General features: G+C 46.2%; 1 protein-coding gene across 7 annotated transcripts in view, besides 1 other annotated feature; it reads left to right on the top strand.

Annotated features, from left to right (window-relative positions):
* The window catches only part of THADA (THADA armadillo repeat containing), a 365,188-nt gene that overhangs the window by 325,676 nt on the left and 19,554 nt on the right, over positions 1-19,958 (top strand). The window lies entirely within an intron of this gene.
* Positions 11,519-11,813: a silencer, noted in NCBI's record as "tiled region #2712; K562 Repressive non-DNase unmatched - State 23:Low". NCBI's record gives its function as "represses a minimal TATA promoter and a strong SV40 promoter by Sharpr-MPRA in K562 cells {active_cell/tissue: K562}" and the evidence as "EXISTENCE:reporter gene assay evidence [ECO:0000049][PMID:27701403]".

Below are 19,958 nucleotides of genomic sequence, written 5' to 3'. Positions count from 1 at the left end.
GGCGGCAGGTGGTCCTCTGTCAAGGCTGCTGCTGTTCCTGTTCTCCAGTGCCCCTCCTAAAGGGAGGGAATCCCAGGACTCGAGGGTTTTAGAGCCTCTGACTTACAGATGTGGAAACTGAAGCCCAAGAAAGGTAAATGATTTCCCCAGTGTCACATAATGAGTAGAAAAACGAGGTCTACAACACCCACTCCTGAGGCCCAGGACAGTACCTCTCTACTGTCCCCCAAGCCTTGATTTATACAGAGGAAATGACAGAAATGTAGGGATGCCCCCTGAGAATAATCCAGACTCGGGTAGAGAGGAGCTGGCAGGGGTGAGATGGGGTGGTGTGGGGTAAGGGCAGAGAAGATGGAACACTGCCTTGAGAAGAGGGCTTGGAGGAACTCCAGCAACACTGGGGTGGGAAGAACTAAGTGTTCTGTGAAACCAGCCATCTCTCAGCAGTCAGCAATCAAACCACACCCTGAGTCAGCCCGGGATTCCACTGCCTTGGTCTCTCTGGGCCTCTCTCCGTAGCTGGCTGTGTGTTCTTCAGTATTGTCAGTGGGGCTGCAGGGGAGGAAACAGAAGAGGCTAGGAATTGTGGTCCTAACCCACTGTGAACCAGTGGAGGGTGAGGGGAAATGCTTTTGAAGGAAGATAGTTATGTGGGAGCCAGTTATCTGTTTTCTTATTTATTCCTTCAAAATAAAGAGATTTGATCAAGGTAGGCCCCCATTCCTGCCAGCTGCAGTGGGTGGGCACGGTGGAGCTCCGGTTGCCGCATTCCAAGTTGCGTGTGCCATCAGTTGCTGTTCCAGAGAGCCTGGGCCCCCTGACGTTCACCTGCATCTCAGCGAGTGCGTCACTGGCAGCGGCTCCCATGATGTGCAAAAGCAGGTGCAAACTAATGCTCCCGTCTTCGATCTGCTGGCCAGTTATGAGTGCCAGTGAGTACCCTGGCTGGGCCTGGTTGCTGGGGTGATGGGATTGTTACCATGGCCTCCCAGTGACTAATCCCCAGAGAGACAACAACAGGCTCCTTTCGAGGAAATGAGGGTCATTTTTGCATCATTTTGCCCTGACTCTTGCTGCTTCTGAAAGCCGAGCTCTCTGGCCAAGGCGACTGACCCCTGTGGGTGATGATAAGCCCTCAGTCTGAGGCTTAGGCCATCTGGTGCTGACGCGGCTGCAGGGTGTTGTCTTCCCTGTTAGTCAGGGCAAGCCTGGTGCCTGGTGATCTTCCTTCTCCAGCTCGTGGCCTCGGCTCTCCTCTTCTGTGCTTTCCTTTTCCTCAGGAACTTTCGCTTTCCTCAGCAAGGCCATATCACAATGCAGGATTTCTCTTCACTGTGGTGAGCAGGCTTCCTTTTTGAACCTAAGCCAGTTTCAGGTGTTAGGGTCACTACTCTGTCAGGGGTGGCAAGATGGGCCCCCCCACCTTTCTCGTTCGTCCCTGGTTCAGTGAGGATGACTCCTCCAGCCCCAGCTTCAGGCCTGACTCTATTGGGAGCATCCCTCCTGAGCACCCCAGCCAGCACTGGCACCTGCCCTTTGCCCTCCTGAGTTCACTCAGCCACAGACTTCTTCCATCCCAACAGCCAGATGAAGGTCAGACCCAGGCTGTCATGACAGTGCTGCCCGAGAAGTTCTGCAGGGCAGGGGTGGGGCCCAGGAGAGGCCTCTTCACTGGCCACGGTGGCGACCCCTCCCTCACCATCCTGCTGTTATCCAAGGAGGCGTAAAGGGTGACATCAGAGACCTGGGAAGCCCTCATCCTACCCACCAAACTCCAATTCTGTTCTCAAATCTCCCAGAAGATGCTTGGTGGATTGTGAAAGCCTGGGCTTCCTTGTTTTTGCTGCTCTATTTTGACTACAGCAGTCCCCATGGCAAGACCTCTCATGGGCAGAAGAGCAGAATGGAGAGTGGCTCTGGTGGTGGCGGGCCAGTACAGGGAGGGTTTTTCTCTGCACACGTGGGGCAGGGTGTGTACATTGAGATAGAATGGCATGTTGGGAATCTGTGCACCTTTCAGAGTGTCTGTTTGTAAAGAGTACACAGCCCCAGTTTGGATGTGAATGTCTGTATGAGCGTTAGGAGGAGAATGGGATTCAAGAGATGTGCTCTGACCTGTTCACTGATGCATCATGATGAGCTAAAAGTAAGAAATCCCTCCCTGAATGTCAAAATGGCCAGGAAATCGTTGCTGTATTTCAGTAATTGGGTTTGTCAGAAGTGAATTTCTTGTGAGGCTGATCTACAGGAGCAGAGGCAGAGAACAGCAGGTGGGAATCAAAAACAAAGAATTGGCCTTGACGGCAACTTGTCTTCTCCCTCTCTGCCTCCTCTTCCCTTGTTCCTTTCCCCCTCTCCTGCTTCCTCACCTCCAGCTGAAGTACTGAAGTTACTGGAGTACAACCAGGGCTGTCAGCTTGGGGTGTATCTTGAAATGGACTTTCTGAAGTATTTTCTGGGGTTTCAAGCATGAAACAGCTGGTGTTTTAGTCGGGGTATAGATTTGGCATCTGTAAGAGAAGTTAATAGTGGCTTAAACAAGTCAGTAGCTTATTTTTTCCTCACACAGAGCACTCAGTAGACTAGTGTGATGGTCCGTATGATTAGGGGCGCACACCTTCTTTCTTGGTGCTCTGACATTTTCAAGACACACCATCCCTCACATGGCCCCAGATGGCAGTGCCAGCTCCCACTGCCATGTCCACAATCTGGTGAGCCGGAAGGCAGGAGGGAAGGGCCAGCCTGGAAGTCACATGCACCACTTCCATGGATCTTATCAGCCAGGCCCTCGTCATCTGCCACAGATCTCAGCCAAAGAGGCTCAGAAATCGTGTGTTGAGCTAAATGGACACACGCTTAGCTAAAAAGCCCATTTCTGTGTAAGGGGGAAAGACTGGGTTTTGGGAGATAGGAACTTCACTTCTCGCAATCTGCCATCTTCTTATTTTTACCAGGTCCTAATCACTGAGGTTCTGGCAAGTGCCAGCTGCATGGGCACTAACATCTGGGGACACAGGGATGAATTAGATAGAGCATCTGCTTCTAAACTGTTGGGAGTCCACCCTCTCAGGTGGTAGGCCACCTAAAATCAACAGACCTTCCTTTACATGTATCCAAATCATTTTTTCTGTTAGCAACTTACATGGCTAATTTTATAAGAAAAGGAAGTAACCATTAATAATAAGAATTTTGTTCTAAACATTCTCACTAACTTGGTAAGTTTGTTTGCTGATCCCTGTATCATCTCTTAGGACCACACACATCACCCAAAATGCAGACACTTCATTAGGAAGCAAGCCCACAAGCTTTGCAGTTGCATTACCCAGAGCAAGAATTTACTAGAAAGATAGCTTTTTAATTGAAGGGGACTGGGAAGGAAGAAAACACTTAGTAGAGACCAAAAAAAAGGAGCAATGGCGGGAGGGAGGGAGCCACACTTAGAAGGGAGCAGGAATGGGGAAGTGGAGAGGGGAGGCTCAAGTTTGGCACCCTGCCTGTTCCACCACTGTGCTTATGCGTGGCATGTCCTCCTTGTGCCAGTCAACCTGGTTAAGTGTCGCGATTCTACCCAGCCCCATGCCCTCCTTTCCCACAAAGCCTTTCCAGTCTTTGTGTCTCTCCTTGAGTCAGACCCACACTGTTTAGCTCTTACATTGCTCATTCTTTAGGAGACTCCTCCTTTCACCCACACTAAGCTTTTTAAGGGCTGAGGCCTCCATCACAGCAGAGTGGATCATGTTGTTTTTTGTTTTTTGTTTTTGAGAGGGAGTCTCACTTTGTCGCCCAGGCTGGAGTGCAGTGGCGCTATCTTGGCTTACTGCAAGCTCTGCCTCCCAGGTTCACACCATTCTCCTGCCTCAGCCTCCCGAGTAGCTGCAACTACAGGTGCCAGCCACCACGCCCGGCTAACTTTTTATTTTTGTTTTTTTGTTTTTAGCAGAGACGGGGTTTCACCGTGTTAGCCAGGATGGTCTGGATCTCCTGACCTTGTGATCCGCCCGCCTCGGCCTCCCAAAGTGCTGGGATCACAGGCGTGAGCCACCATGCCCAGCCCGGAGCATGTTACATTCTAGAGTGGCTCATGACAGGCAGACCTATTGTTTCTGTAGCACAGCCTGGTTTTGGAGTTGAAAGTGGACATGGGGTTTGAGATGGGCAGCTTCCCTTCAGTCAGTCCCCTGCTCAGCCTCCCGGCAAGCTCACTGGCCCCAGCGATGAGCCTGTAGGGTCAGGTTACACTGGGACAGGTTGGTAAGGGCTCCCCAGGCAACCCAGTCCCATCACACCAGAAAATGAAATTCCCCTCTTTTAAAAGCCACTCATAGAACATAGTGGTGGTTGTGGTGGTTCTGCTTCAGACCCTCAAGAGTCTGTGTGTGTGTGTGTGTGTGTGTGTGTGTGTGTGTGTGTGTGTGTGTGTGTGTGTGTGTGTTTCAAAAGTAAAAAAAAATCGGATTATCATCCTCGCCCCCTTAATCTGTTCCAAATGAGAACGCTTAGGAAGAAAACTCCCAAGAACCCACTCTGTTAAGAAAATTGGTTTCTGCTGTGGAGTGGGTCAGGGTGGGGAATGGAGTTAGGAAAATATATGGAAACTGACAGAAGAGATTCGGTTTGTGTTTGGAAAAGGATTCGGGTTGTTTTCAAGTTTTGAGTTACAGCCTGGGCGTGTTTGAAGAAGTGGGGTTGTACAGCATAGCCTCTGTGGGCTTCTCATTCAGCTCCTCCTGCCTGCCCGGCCCTTGTTAGAGATGCCTTGCTTGGCAGGCAGACTGGCTGGGAACCTTCTTCATAAATAACTCCGTGGGGGATACAGGAGTGATAACAGACGTTTTAAGTGGAAGCCCAGCTGCCTTAAGAACTTAGGAAAGGGCCCGGCACAAGTCTGGCCCCAGGATTCTCCTCGCTAAGCAAGGGAACGCTCTTAAAGCTTTCAGTTTGGTTACTCTAATTTTATTATTTCTCTAACCTCTCTAATCAGCAGAGTGATTGAGGCTCTGATTGTGAGTCCTGTTTTTATTTTTCACACTATTTTTATACTTTGAAGCTGTGGTTTTAAAATATACACTCAAAAATGTTGGCTCGGCACCCACGAGGCCCAGGAGGTTGTCCAGATGCACTGGGTCTGGGGCTGCTCCCAGCAGCCTTTCAGTGCCCCCGCCCCCACCGCTGGCCTTTGGGGATAGATGGAATGGGCAGGAGTTGCTGTAAGAGACTGGTCCAACCACAGGCAAGCTTCTGGCCAAATATTTTAAATTCGACTCTGAGAAACTAGCAGGAATCTTGTTCTGGTGGCTTCCCAAGCACACACTCAGGGATCAGAACCTGCAGAAGCAGAATTCCCAGTTTCAGATAAAATGTTCATTCATCTCCAATATGCAGTGCTGGTCCCCATCGCCCTTCCATCCATGCTGAAAGTGTGTGCAGCACGGTACTTAGGGAAAAACAGTGCCAGCAAAGTGGGTTCATTTGTTTCTGTCACCACCATTTGCTGGAAATGGTTGTCATGTTCACGGTACTGTAGAACTCAGAGATGGGTGCAAGAAATCTTCCAAAGCGCTGACCTTCCTGTGTTCTTCTCCAGCTAGTTCTAACCCTGCCCTCTATCCTCTTGCCCTCTTTTTTCCCCCAGGCTCCTCCCTTCCCTTCTTTTCTCCCAATCCAGAGTAGATCTAGGAATCTGAAATTTCCACCTTGGCTACAAACAGCACTGAGTCTCTTTGAACAGCCTTGTCCATAAATCTTAGATTGTTTTTCATCTTTGAAAAAGTTACTTCTGGCCCAGCACGGTGGCTCATGCCTGTAATCCCAGCACTTTGGGAGGCAGAGGTGGGCGGATCACCTGAGGTCAGGAGTTCGAGACCAGCTTGACCAACATGGAGAAACCCCGTCTCTACTAAAAATACAAAATTAGCCAGGCGTGGTAGTGCATGCCTGTAATCCCAGCTACTCGGGAGGCTGAGGCAGGAGAATCACTTGAACCCGAGAGGCGGAGGTTTCGGTGAACTGAGATGGCGCCATTGCCCTTTAGCCCGGGCAACAAGAGCAAAACACCGTCTCAAAAAAAAAAAAAAGAAAAGAAAAAGAGAAAGCTACTTCTATCAGCAAGTCATTATTCACATGTAGGGGCAGGGAAAAGTTCACTACATTCAGACTTCAGTTTCTTTTCACTCTATTTCACAACATCCACTCCCCTGAAACCATGGGCTTTAAAAAAAAAAATCAGTCCCCAATAGGCAAGGTGCCCCGTGACATAGCCAGCTAGAACCAGGGAAGAAGGTGAGAGTAAGGGTAGGTTTGCCTAGATGGAGGCTAGCTGTCTCAGCCCATGGAGGAAAATAATTTCAGTCTCAGGGAACTAAAAACCCACTGTTCTTATTTTAGAGTGATGGATTTGGTGGGTGGGGAAATTTGGGGAGACAGGGTGATATTTATAATGAAAGGCTTAGCTGTATTGTTGAGGGGTGGGGTGAGAGGAGGGAGAGCATGAGGAAAATAGCTAATGCATGCTGGGCTTAATATCTAGGTGATGGGTTAATAGGTGCAGCAAACCACCATGGCACACATTTACCTTTGTAACAAACCTGCACTTCCTGCACATGTACCCTGGAACTTAAAAATAAATAAGTATTATAGTGTAATATAGCTAACAGGCTAGAACATACCTCAGTTCCATGTTGCATCAGCTAAAGGAGAGATGAAAGGAGGGTGAATTTGGAGCAAATAGAAGAGAAAGGAATGTGGGGAGAGAGAAACAGACTGTCACTTGAGGACCTGGCTTGGTGTTTCTGCTTCTCATCCTTAGCATGTTGGCTCTTTGACCCCGTGCTTGTCCTCATGGTTACAAGATAGCTTGTATACCTCGGATACATCCCAACATTTTAGGTAGGAAAGAAGGGATAAGAACATACATTTTTCTTCTCACGGGGTTCTTTTTATCCAGGTATTTAAAATGCCCCCCCAATCACCCACCCACCCAGCATATATTTCTGTATGCATCCTTGGCCAGGTCAGGTACATGGCCATCCCAGATATGAGGGTAGGCTGAAGGAGAAAGTATCATGCAATGGAGAATGAGACGGCTCTGGGCATATCACTTGGAACTGGAACCATCACCTCCCAGAACAAAATTGGCCTTCTATTAATTAGCAAGGAGGAAGTGGGATAGCTGTTGGATGGGCTACTGGGGAGGGATTAGTGTATACCCAGGAAGTGCCGTGACACATTTAGGGAACTACGTGACACATTTAGTCCAGCACGAGGAGTGTCGAGTTGGGGTAGGGTGGGAGAAGGACAAACACTAAAGGTAGATAGGGACCAGATTTTCAAAGGCCAAGGATGCCCTGCTGCTGACTTGGCTCTCTATGGAAGCCATCACAGGCGTAAGGAGGAAAGTGGGAGATGATTGCACATTACACAGAAGTGGGGAGGGGACGCCAGTCTCAAGAGCAGTGGTTTTCACACTGCAATATGTACACAGATCACCTGAGGATCTTGTCAAAATGAGATTCTGTTTCTGTGGGCCTAGGTAAGGCATGAGATTCTACATTTCGTAAAAACTCCCCAGTGATGCTGACACAGCTGATCAGGGGATCATACTTGGAGTAGCAAGGTCCTAATGTTCTTCAAAAATAAATGTACAAATACGTTTGTTAGACATTTTATAGTAACTACTAATATAACTGAAATAGAAATTAACACTCTCAAATCACTAAAGGAAAAAAACACGAACTTAGATTGAGTTTTCTTTTTAAAGAAAGGCAAAATCTGATGTGTCTTTTGGTAATCCTGATGTCTACATGTGACAGAAAAGCCAAACAGAGGTTTAAACACAGTGGAAGTTTTTTTCTCTCTCAAGTGACTGCAGTCCATTCCATATGAGTGAGTCCAGACTGATTGGCAGGCCCCAGGCCCCAGGCCCCATGCTTCTTCTGTCTTTCTGCTTCACTCTCCTGGCATGTGGCTTCCATCCTCAAGGTCACCTCTTCATCCATGATGGTTGCCAGAAGCATTAGCTAGCTCATCCTCATAACAGATGAAAAGAAAGGGAAGAAAGAACAATAAAGAGTGTGCATCCTCTCCTTTCAAGGAGTGCCCCCAAAGTCCCATAAAACACTTCTCTTTACCTCTCATTGGCTACAACCTAATAACATGTCCATATTTTGCTGCAAGATGTGCAAAGAAACATAATGTTTTGGGCTAAGCACATTACCTAGAGTTCGCTTGCTAAGGAAGAAGGAAACACATCCAGCTCTATGTCACTTTGATAAAGAGATAAGCCTAAATTTACAAGGAATGGTTGAAAATAAAGAAATGCACACCCAGCACTTTGAGAGGCCGAGGCGGGTGGATCACCTGAGGTCAGGAGTTCAAGACCAGCCTTGCTAACGTGGCAAAGCCCCATCTCTACTAAAAATACAAAAAATTGCCAGGCGCGGTGGCTCATGCCTGTAATCCTAGCACTTTGGGAGGCCGAGGCGAGTGGATCACCTGAGGCCAAGAGTTCGGGACCAGCCTGGTCAACAGGGTGAAACCCCGTCTCTACTAAAAATACAGAAATTAGCTGGGCATGGTGGCATGCGCCTGTAATCTCAGCTACGTGGGAGGCTGAAGCAAGAGAATCGCTTGAACCTGGGGGAGTGGAGGTTGCAGTGAGCCGAGATCATGCCATTTCACTCCAGCCTGGGCAAAAAAGCAAAACTCCATCTCAAAAAAAAAAAAAAAAATCAAAACAATAGCCAGGCATTAGTGGCATGCACCTGTAATCCCACCTACTTGGGAGGCTGAGGCAGGAGAATTGCTTGAACCAGGGAGGCAGAGGTTGCAGTGAGCCAAGATCGTGCCATTGCAGTCCAGCCTGGGCGACAGAGCAGCAGTCCAGCCTGGGCGACAGAGCAAGACTCTGTCTCAAACAAAAAAAAGCACAAACCAGGCAACATGGCGAAACCCCATCTCTACTAAAAATACAAAAATTAGCTGGGCATGATGGTGCATGCCTGTAGTCCCAGCTACTCAGGAAGCTGAGGTGGGAGAATTGCTTGAACCCAGGAGGTGGAAGTTGCAGTGAGCCGAGATTGGACCACTGCACTCCAGCCTGGGTGACACAGCAAGACCTCTTCTCAAAAAAAAAAAAAAAAAAAAAAAAAGAAATGCACAAATTTATTTCAGGCAATTGGTAACAGAAAGAAAGCAGGAGTGGCAATAATAATATTAGGCAAACAAATTTAAGACAAAAAGTATGAAGATGGACAGGAAGAGAAGCATTGGATAATGATAAAAGTTATCCACAAAATAACAGGCATGAGCCTTTACATATCGGGTAAAATAACATCCAAATTTACCAAAAAAAACACTCTACAAAATATTAGATAAAAGTTATTAAAATACAGCCATAGTAGGATACTTTTCCTTTCTCAGAATGTAAAAGGTCAAGCCAACCAAAGATGAATGAGGCCTTAAAGGATTTAAATACCAGACTTAAAAGTTTGTATAGGTATAAACCTTGTACTCTGACAGAAAATAAACATCCATTTCAAACAGCTACATAACATTTACAAAAACTGATCATATTTCATGTTACCAAAAAAATTTCCATTTCATAAAGAAATCTTCCTAGGCCACATTCTGACCAAATTGCAAGCACACTAGAAATATAAAATAAAAATATAACAACATAATGCCACTTAGATATTTAAGCACAGTCTTCTAAATACGTTATGCCAATGACAACACAAAAATTAAAGACTCCTTAGAGGCCCATACAGAGGAAAACACAATCAAGATTTCAGTAGATGAACCTGTCTTCAGAGGAAGTACTTGCATTGTACCTCCTGGGCTCAAGTGATCCTCCCACCTCAGCCTCCCAAGTAGGTGGGACTTCAGGCAATATATTAGGCAATTAAGTTTTTATGAATAATATACGAGGAAGTCTTTAAAAATAGGTAAATGAAGACAATAGAAAAAGAGGCAAAAGATAAAAACCGAGCACTCTGTAGAAGAAAAAAGATGTGAACAGGACACGCATGAAAAAAATGCTCATCCTCACTAATAAAAAAGAAATACCAATTAGAACATCAGCACCCTGTCATTTCCCTGTATCTTATTGGCAAAGAATAAAAAGATTGTTCTTGGCCAGGTGTGGTGGCTCCCACTTGTGATCCCACACTTTGAGAGGCCGAGGCTGGAGGATCACTTGAGTTCAGGAGTTCGAGACCAGCTGGATGTGGTGGCGGGCACTTGTAATCCCAGCTACTTGGGAGGCTGAGGCAGGAGAATTGCTTGAACCCGGGAGGCATAGGCTGCAGTGAGCTGAGATCATTCCACTGTACTCCAGCCTGGACGACAGAGCGAGACTCCATCTCAAAAGAAAAAAAAGATTGCTGTCACCTGGGGTGAGAGCTGTGAAGGAACAGGCATGATCATACCAGGTGGAACTATAAATTGGTACATTTTTAGAGAGAGTTTAATGGTGTCTATAGAAATTTAAATGTGTATGCCAATTGAGCCAGCAATTCCCTTTTAGTAAATTTATCCTACAGGAATATTTGCACAAGGGCCAAAGATATATGTATAAGGTATTCCTTTCAACAGTGTTTATAACAGGAAAAGGAATAACCTAAATATTCATCAAAGGATTAGTTAAGTAAATGTTAATACCTCCACATACTATGCAGCAGTTAAAAATGGAGTAAATCAGTATGAACCCACATGCAAAGGCATCCGTGATATATTGTTAACTGAAAAAAGCAAGTCAGAACAGAACATCTGGAGTGATTCCACTGTCAGCTATAATAAGTTGTTATTATTCTCTATAACTCTGTAATCTTTTTAAGTCTAGAAAGCTCCATATTATGAATTACTGCCTATAGGGCCTCTGCTGCCTACAGGGGCCTGGCAAGGAGCATAAATGCGTGAACTGGCAGGACGTGCAGTCAGAGTAGGATGGACTGGCAGGGAGCGGACAATCATGTACTATCTCAGTTGTAGCCAATGGTTGTGATTCCTGACCTTGCCAGGTTTCCCTGGCCAGCATTCATGGATCAAGACTCAGGAGCAGTAGCTCTGAATTTAGTAGTCTTGAGTAGTCTTGAGTTTCAGCCCCAAGACAGCCTTTTCTGGCCCCCTAGCAAGGGCAGTAGTAGTGACCCCTATCAGTATCACTTTGGGTCCTCTTCAGCAAGTGCTGGGTGAACCTGGAGCTTTTAGTTGATGGCAGCTTCACTGACCCCCTCCCCTTGACTTGGTGAAATGGGCTCCATCATGTCACTCTGAAACTGACAGCAGTTGACATTAAGATTTTTTTTAACACCATAGAACTTACAGACTGTGTTTCATTTTGGCCTGGTTCCTTAGTGCTCCAGAAGGTTCACTTTCCACCACAGAACCTCCAGAATCTTCAGGAGGCCTCACACAGGCCAAGTTACCCATAGTCCCAATGTGAGCCCTGTGTAGAGTTACTGTTTTTAGTCCTTCTAACCTTTTTGGCAGGGGGAGGGGGCCAAAACAGCCTCAGCTGTACTGGAGGAGAACAGCTGGAAATAAACAGCCAATGGATGAGAAAACTTGAGGGTCGATATCCTCCAGTTGCCAAGTTCTATCCTGCTTAGCAAAGTCTCTGTGCTGCTTCATTCTTCATTTCTAAAAGTGACCTTCAACTTGATTTCCCCCTGGCCCTCAGTGTAAATATTGGCCTGGTCATTGAGGTCGTCCAAAGAATGATTTGGTCTCTTGTGTAAGGTTGCCAGATTTAGCAAATAAAAATATAGGACACCCAGTTAAATGAATTTCAGATAAATAACAAATAATTTTTATTTTTATTTTTATTTATTAATTTATTTTTTGAGACAGAGTTTCACTCTTGTTGCCTGGGCTGGAGTGCAATGGCACGATCTCGGCTCACCACAACCTCCACCTCCCAGGCTCAAGCGATTCTCCCACCTCAGCCTCCCAAGTAGCTGGGATTACAGGGACCCACCACCACACCTGGCTAATTTTGTATTTTTAGTAGAGACAGGGTTTCTCTATGTTGGTCAGGCTGGTCTCAAACTCCCAACCTCAGGTGATCCGCCCACCTCAGCCTCCCAAAGTGCTGGGATTACAGGCATGAGCCACCGCACCTGGCCAACAAATAATATTTTTTTTTAGTATAAGTATGCCCCATGCTATATTTGGGAATACTTACACTAAAAGGATATTTATTGTTTACCTGAAATTCAGACCTACTCAGTGTCTCGCATTTAATCCTGCAAGCCTGCTCCGTGGGCCGCTGGGGCTCTCCCTTTCTAAGGGAGGCACCTGAAAGTGTGAGGATCAAGAGCAGTAGGAGGTGTCAGTAATAAACCTAATAAGCACTGTCCAGGGCATGACACGTCACCTCAGCCCCAGAGCCTGCTGAATCCCCAACTCCTGCTTTTCTGTACCTCCCCTTCCTCCCACTGGCTTCTCTGCTTCTGAGCTGCCTGCCTCTGGACTTTCTCTTTTAGTCTGTGACTTTCCCCTACCCTCACCTCTCCTCTTTTTTCCTCATTTTGCTCTCACTGATCCGTAACACGTAATTAAAGTTTACATATTTGAGTGTTGGTTGTAATTACTAAATAAGGTTTTATGTTCCTTGCTGTAATTTAAATAGCAGGGGAATTTAACTTTTTGTGTGTGTTTCATTTTGCTTTTATTGATAGGTGGCCTTAAATTCATTTTTAGCCATGTGAATCACTGACCTTCACCTTGAGCTGAGAGAAAGGCCTTCCATATCTGGAATGAACTCATGCACATCTTCCTAGAACAGATGCCAACGGAGGAAGTGGGGAATGGGATAGACTGAGGTGGTCGAGTGAAGGGAGACATCACTAGGTTGACCTATTCAAGAGAGAAGGAGACTCGGAAGCCTCCTGTGCTGCCCCGAAGCCCAGCCTTTTGGAATTGGGCCCCGCTGGCCCGGGAGAAGCCTCCTCTCTCCTCTTTATGATTGATTGCCTGACTCCTATGCAGTGAGAAGCAGCCTGTCATAGGGAGGCGCAGGGTTTGGGGTTAGAGACAAGCGCCCCAGGGGCCTTGTGCCTTCCCTCTCTGCCTCTCCCAGTGGGAGCAGACACTTGAAGGAAACTCCACTCTGTCCCCTCCCAAAACAGGTAGTCTGGACAACTTTCTGACGTCCCCCTGTGTTAGAAGCTTCTGGTTGCTAGTTGCTACCTTCAAGGACTCTGATGTCTGTTTTCTCTCCCATTCTCTCTGTCTGCCTTTGTTTTTCCATCCCCCCTCTCCACCCACCAACAGAGGGACCTCTACCTGTCTACCAGATGGGAGGCGTTTTCCCATCTGGGAAGAAAACTTTGAAGGACAGTTGCCATCTTGGAGAGAGAATACTGATCTGGGAATCAGGGAGTCCTCTCTATCCTGAGCTATTTGGCTCTACTCTCTTGGCTTCAGTTTCTGTATAAAATGAAGGTGATTTTGTTTGTATTAAAATATGAATAAAAACGAATGTTGGCCAGGTGTAGTGGCTCGCACCTATAATCCCAGCATTTTGGGAGGCTGAGGTAGAAGGATCACTTGAGCCCAGGAGGTCATGACCAGCCTAGGCAACGTAGTGAGATTTCATCTGTACAAAAAATAAGAAAATTAGGGGGGCTTGATGGTACACACCTGTGGTCCCAGCTACTCAAGAGTCTGAGGGAGGAGGATCACTTGACCCTGGGAGGTTGAGACCAGCCTGGGCAACATAACATACTCTGTCTCTACCAAAAAAAAAAAATTATTTATTTATTTATTTATTTTTCTTTTTTTAATTAGCCAGGAATGGTAGCATGTGCCTGTGGTTCCAGCTACTTCGGAGGCTGAGGTAGGAGGATCACTTGAGCCCACTAGGAGGTCGAGGCTGCAGTGAGCCGTGATCATGCCCCTGCACTTCATTCAGCCTGGAAGACAGACTCAAAAAAATAAATAAATACAATGTCAAAAAGTGAGCAAGGTTCTATCCCCAATCCAAATGCTAACTGGTTTAAAAAAAAAAAAAGTAGAAGAGAGACAAGGTCTCGCTGTGCTGCTCAGGCTGGTCTCAAACTCCTGTGCTCAAGTGATAACTCCCACCTTGGCCTCCCAAAGTGCTGGGATTACAGGCATGAGCCACCGCACCCAGACGTAAGCGGGTTTCTGTTTGTTAGAGAAGCCTTTTCTTCACCAAGTTAAGAGGACCTTACCACTTCATTTTGGGAGGAGTGTTTTTATTCCTTCTATCTTGGATTCATGAACATCCAGGTGTTCTTTCTTACCTCTTCTTACAGGCAGGGGAGAATTTAAAAGAGCCTGAAAGAATAGTTATGTGCCCCTTGACATTTCAGCAAATGTTTCAGTAGAAAGGAGATTGGCTCTTTCAATAGTTCACCTAATGGTCTGTGACCGAGCTGAGGTGTCTTCTTGACCCTGTAAAGGAGGCAGCTCCATGAGTTTGAGGGCTACACACGTCAAATGGCTGTAGTTGCCCAAAGAATTTTGGATCAGATCTCTCACCTTTGATGGGAATGAAATAACAAAGCCTCACCCACCCGGGGCCTGTTGCCTTTTGCTGAGCAAAGTCCTGTCAGCCGTTTAGTACAGACAGAGGCTTCACCCCAGCTGGAAACCCGATAATGAGTGAGGCCTAAGAATCTGAGCTTCCCGGGGTGTGTGGGAAACCAAATATTAGAGGCCACAGCATTCCCCGACTCCAATACTTGGATGGAGCTTGTGCATTCCCTTGGTTACAGCCATTTGGGGCTCCAAAAGGCGGGAGAGGTTTAGCCAGAGCCTCCTCTCAGCAGTTCTGGGGGGCCCAATCCCTTGTCACCTTGAAGTTCTGTTTAATCCTTCACCTTCACAGCAGCACCACAGCAGTGAAAAACAATGAAAGTCAGCCACACCCGTGGAAATTCATGTCAGGGAAAGAAGGCAGGAACAGGATCAAAGCCTCTTGTAACCCAAGAATTCCTCAGCAGCTCCAGTCCCTTAATAATTATGGTTTGGAGATTTGCCAGAAAGCAAAACCACTTAGCATGCCATATTTAACAATGAACAGTTTTCTGTGTTCATAATAGTCACTGTGCAGAGCAAATAGGCACCTTGAACAAAGAGTAGGATATTTATATGTGTATATAAAATAACCCGCACCTACCTTAAACCTAAATATGTTTTCAGAGAAGAATGTGGTACGTCCCTCTGCTCTGGTACCTGCTTTATGAGTAAGTTGGAGAAAAGCTACATACTCTGCCCCCATCCCCACCTCCCCAGGTTTTTAAAATAGAAATATTTGTTTAACCCAGAATTTCCCAAACTTACTAAATAGTTACACTCTTTAGTTTCCAGCTGGAGTAAAGCTGCTTTGGTTGGTTTTGAAGTTTGGAGTGTTTTATGTTGTTTTAAATATCTACTAACATTCCAAAAAGCCAGTGTCCCCAGAAAAACTTTTTGGGAAGTGATGACCAAAGAGTGCAGGAGACAAGGATGTAGACCAGTGGGGGGACCGAGAAAACAAGTCCCAAGCCCTGAGGGGAGATGAACAAGTTTGCTGGAGGCCCAGGTCTCTGCATCAGGTTTAAGGAACCTTGGATCCAGGTTCTCCATGTCACTGTGTGTTCAGTTAGACTTTATCCAACAAACATTTGTCATTGGGGGAAATTAGAGAAGAATGGCTGCTTGGAGGAAAGTTCATTACAGCCAAACCTTAAAGGATGGGCAGAATTTCAAGAGGAAAAGATGAGAAAGATGGAGAACATTCCAGAAAGACATGGGTGGCAGAGTATGAGGCCTGTTCAGGAAAGGAATGTTAGTGTGGTACAAGCATCGAGTGCGTGAGTAGGGTGGGGTGAGATGAAGCGGGATGACACAAACGACCTTTGGATCAAATAGGATTCTTTCAGATGCAAGTGACAGAATGTCCAATGCAGCCCACTTCAGCATAAGGGAGGCATACTGGATCGTGTAACTGAGAATTCCAAGGCTAAGACTGGCTTAAGACATGACATAATTCAAGGACTCAAACAGTGTCCCAAGGACCTGGTTTCTTGTCATTTCTCCCTTCTGCTCCTAGGTTGGTTCTGTTTTCGATCAGCTCACACTTTTCTTGGAGTTTAAGATGGCTACAGCAGCTCTAGCCTTTACATCTTCATTTATTCAAGTCCAAGTCCTGTGTCAGTACAATCCCATTGCATTTTATTGGCTCTAGTTGGGGTCCAGGCCTATCCCTGATCTAATCTCAGGGGCCAGATGCCAGTGAGGGCATCATATTCCTGGCCTCTGAGATTAGTTCAGGGATAGGCCTGGAACCTGTCTGGAGCGGGTACCCATGCCTGGAGTTGAGGGTAGGGTTAGCCCCACCCAAACCACATGGACTAAAAGGTGTGGAGGGGCTGGGTCTCCAGAGGGAGACTGGGGACAGCTATCCAAAGGAGGGCGAATGGAAGGTGGGCAGCAAAAACAACAGATGTCTGCTAAAACCTGGAATGCTAGGCCAAAGAACCTGGATATCATTTACATCAGAGAACCAGTAAAGATTTTTGAGCAAATAAGCAGCGTGATCAGAGCTACACATTAACATTAATTCAGCTACAGTTTAATAGCTGCCATGTACTTGGCACATGGTAGGTACTTAATATAATTATATATTGAATGAGTGAATGCAAAAAGAGAGATGAGTAGCTCAGGAGAGGAGAGAGAAATTAAAGGTGGGCAGCATTTTTAGGCCATCGTAGCAGTTTGGAAGGGGAGCTAGCAAAGGGAATAACGAAGACCCATCAAGAAAACCAAGAGGTTCCATTGTCATGAAACCCACATAAGGAAAAACTATCAAGAGGGCAGGTTTGGTCACCCACGCAAACACTGTTGAAAGGTCAGGTTAAGGACGATGAGGATTGAGAAAATGTCATGAGTGAGAGTTGAGAGAGAAGGTTCAGTAGTGGGAGGTTAGAGCCACCTTTAAGGAGTTTAGAAGTAAGTAGGAGGTAGGCAAAGGGCCCAAGTGTTGACCACTCTGCTACATCACCTGTCTTCTTATCCTCCCCAATTCAAACTCAGCAAAAAAGGTGCTCTTTCCCCTGCACACATCCTTCACACAGCACCTTATACCTCCCCCATGACCTCTATCCAGCCACGATTCCCTTTCCTCCCAGGCGTCTTCAGGTTCTCCTTCTCTACCTCCAGTGGCTCCTTCTCATACAAATATTTACATCACTCCCCTGCCCTAAAACCACATCTTCTAGACCCTGATCTGTCTTCAAGCCAATGTTTCAAAAGAGTCATTAGAGAAGCTTTGACTTTGAGGGGGACGGAAGTTTGAGCTTATGCTGAATGTCCTTGTAGAAGTCAAGATTATCAAGAATGTCAAGTCAAGAAGTCAAGAATGAGTGGTTAGGGAGTAAGATGTAGAGACAGGGAAAAGATTGGAACAGTTTATATAGAGGATCAGTTAGGAGTCACCAGAATAGGAAGAAAAGAATTACCAGAGGACATGGAGATTCCAGCTGAGATTAAACAGCGTGAGTTTATAGACAGCTTCATCAGCAGACTGCCGCTACTCAGCTGGAATTGGTGGCTCAAAGTAGAACAGTAGATTGGGTTTGGGGAGAGGTGGCTAGGGAACATTGTTGAGCCTGGTGGCAGATCAGATTGACAAGAGCACTGGGGACTAGGAAGATCATCACAGGCCTGGGGAATCCTGGATAATGTAGAATAATAGCCTGGGAGAGAGGGCAAGGTCAAGGATGTGGTCAGGAGTAGGGGGCGTGGGTAATTTCAGTGGAAAAGGTAGAAGGTTAAACAGTCGTGTTAGGAATATTAAAGAGGCCATATGATGTGGGAGCCATAGTGTGTAGACTATGTGGCTTAAATCCCAAATCCTAAACTGTGTCTCTCTGTTATACCCCATTATAAAATGGGGCTCATAAAACCTACTTTAAAAGGTCATTATAATTAATATATATGAAGTACATATGATAGTGCCTTGCACATAAGTACCCACTAAACGTTCGCAATGATACTGATGTTCATTTCAAAGTGATGATAAAACTTAGAATTTGAGATCTTGAGTTGAAACAGTTCTAAATAATGACAAGTTCTCAGATGTCATCATGGTTAATTGGGAGTAGAGTAAAATCAGAGATGGGGAGTATTTGAATTGAAGAGGTTGAAAAATGGTGAAAGCAAATACTGGGAGGGACATCTTTATGGATGTGGAAGTCCCAGATGGGGTGGCCATGGCGCAGTCATTGAAGAAGGCCAGGTCTGTAGCCAGCAAGAATGGGGAGATGGTTAGTATGGACTTCAAAAGAGAGATTGTGGGGAATGGCAGGGGGATTATCTAGGAGTGGCAGAAGGAGTTTGCTATTCCGTCCAAGTCAGAGACTCAGGGACAGAAGGAACAGCCCCGAATGGAAAATCAGGAGAATGGTAGCTTCTGCCGGGAGGAGGAAGAAACACGGAAAAGATGACACATATGGAGAATTTGCTCACAATATGACAGATTTTAATTGAGGGGAACTATTTTTTCATAAGAGCTTTTGAGAAAAACTATTCCCTGAACATGGGGACACATCTGAAAAAGGCATGAGGATAGGGGAGGAGGTAGGAGGTTTTGGAGTAGATTTCTGAGAAAGCCAACAGAGGGAGGCCCTGTTTCCTCACCATGATTGTAAGGTGCATGACATGAGACAAGCTGGCTCAGGCCTGTGGGCTGGTGCTAGGCATGCCCCAGCTGGACACAGCTCCCTGTGGCCCTGCCACATCTCCCACTCGGGAGTACACAGTCCCACAGTACCTTAGATTGCTGTATTTCCCAGACCGGTGTTTCGCACGCTGACAGAGACAGGAAGCAGACCAGGTGAGCTGGGATTGGGGGCTTCTGCTTTTAGAGAGCAGAGAGCAACAAATGGGTTTAAAGGAGAGGAAACAGGACACCAGCAGGCTTCAGGGCTGCCTTCTCTTCCAAGAGTGCTGCTCTGTAATGTAATTGTATTTGGACATTTTTTCCACATGATGTCAGGGTATAGCCTCCCTTAAAAGCCTTCATGAAAAAGCACAACTATAAAACAGACTCAGGCAGTGAAATGGAAACCAGACGAGTGGTTCTGTGTAATTTAGGTAAAGAGATTTCTCTTTGCAGCTTTGTGATCTGATCTGATCTCTGCTCTCTGCATAAAACTGTGTTTCACAGGATCCACTTACATTTGAGTCTTACCATGCAGGTGATTTCAGATGTGAAATGTCTTGCTTTATTACCAGAAAGCAAGGGTTCCCTTCTTGGTGGCTGTGCAGACCACCCCTCTCAGGCTGCAACCTTTCCAGTCTTCTTGTCCTTGTGTGAGCCCAGACCCCAGCAAACAGGGAAGGAGGCCTGACCCCTTTTCACTCTTGTTTTAACCCCTCTGTTCACCTTCGTCTGTCCACCCCTCACCTCCCTTCTTAGGGTTAGTCTTTGGAGAATGCATCCTGGGGAGAAATACTCATTGAAGAGGCCCAATCCCTTTAAAGCAAATGGGCCCACTTTCCTGCCCATTCCCTTTGCTTTAACGCCTCAGGGACACAGAATTGAATTACCCATTGTCCTCTGTTCTTGACACACTATCCTGCTCCATCCCCATGAGGGTCCTTTTATTTTATTTTATTTTACTGTATTTTATTTTATTTTATTTTATTTTTATAGAGAAACGATCTCACTATGTTGCCCAGGCTGGTCTCAAACTCCTGGGTTTAAGGATCCTTCGATCTTGGCCTCCCAAAGTTTTGGGATTACGGGTGTGAGCCACCATGCCCAGCCCCTTTCTTTTTTCATGTTTATATATTATTGAGATGAAATAAACATAAAATTAATCATTTTAAAGTATACAGTTCCAGTAGCGTTTAGTACTTTTACAGTCGTGTGCAGTCATTACCACTATCTAGTTCCAGAACGGTTTCATCACTTCCCTAAAAACCCTGTACCCATTAAGTAGTCC

Source organism: Homo sapiens, chromosome 2 (assembly GCF_000001405.40).
Source record: "Homo sapiens chromosome 2, GRCh38.p14 Primary Assembly".
Lineage (NCBI taxonomy): Eukaryota > Metazoa > Chordata > Mammalia > Primates > Hominidae > Homo > Homo sapiens.
Note: the sequence above shows the minus strand (reverse complement) of the source record. Positions and strands in the feature narration are given on the sequence as shown.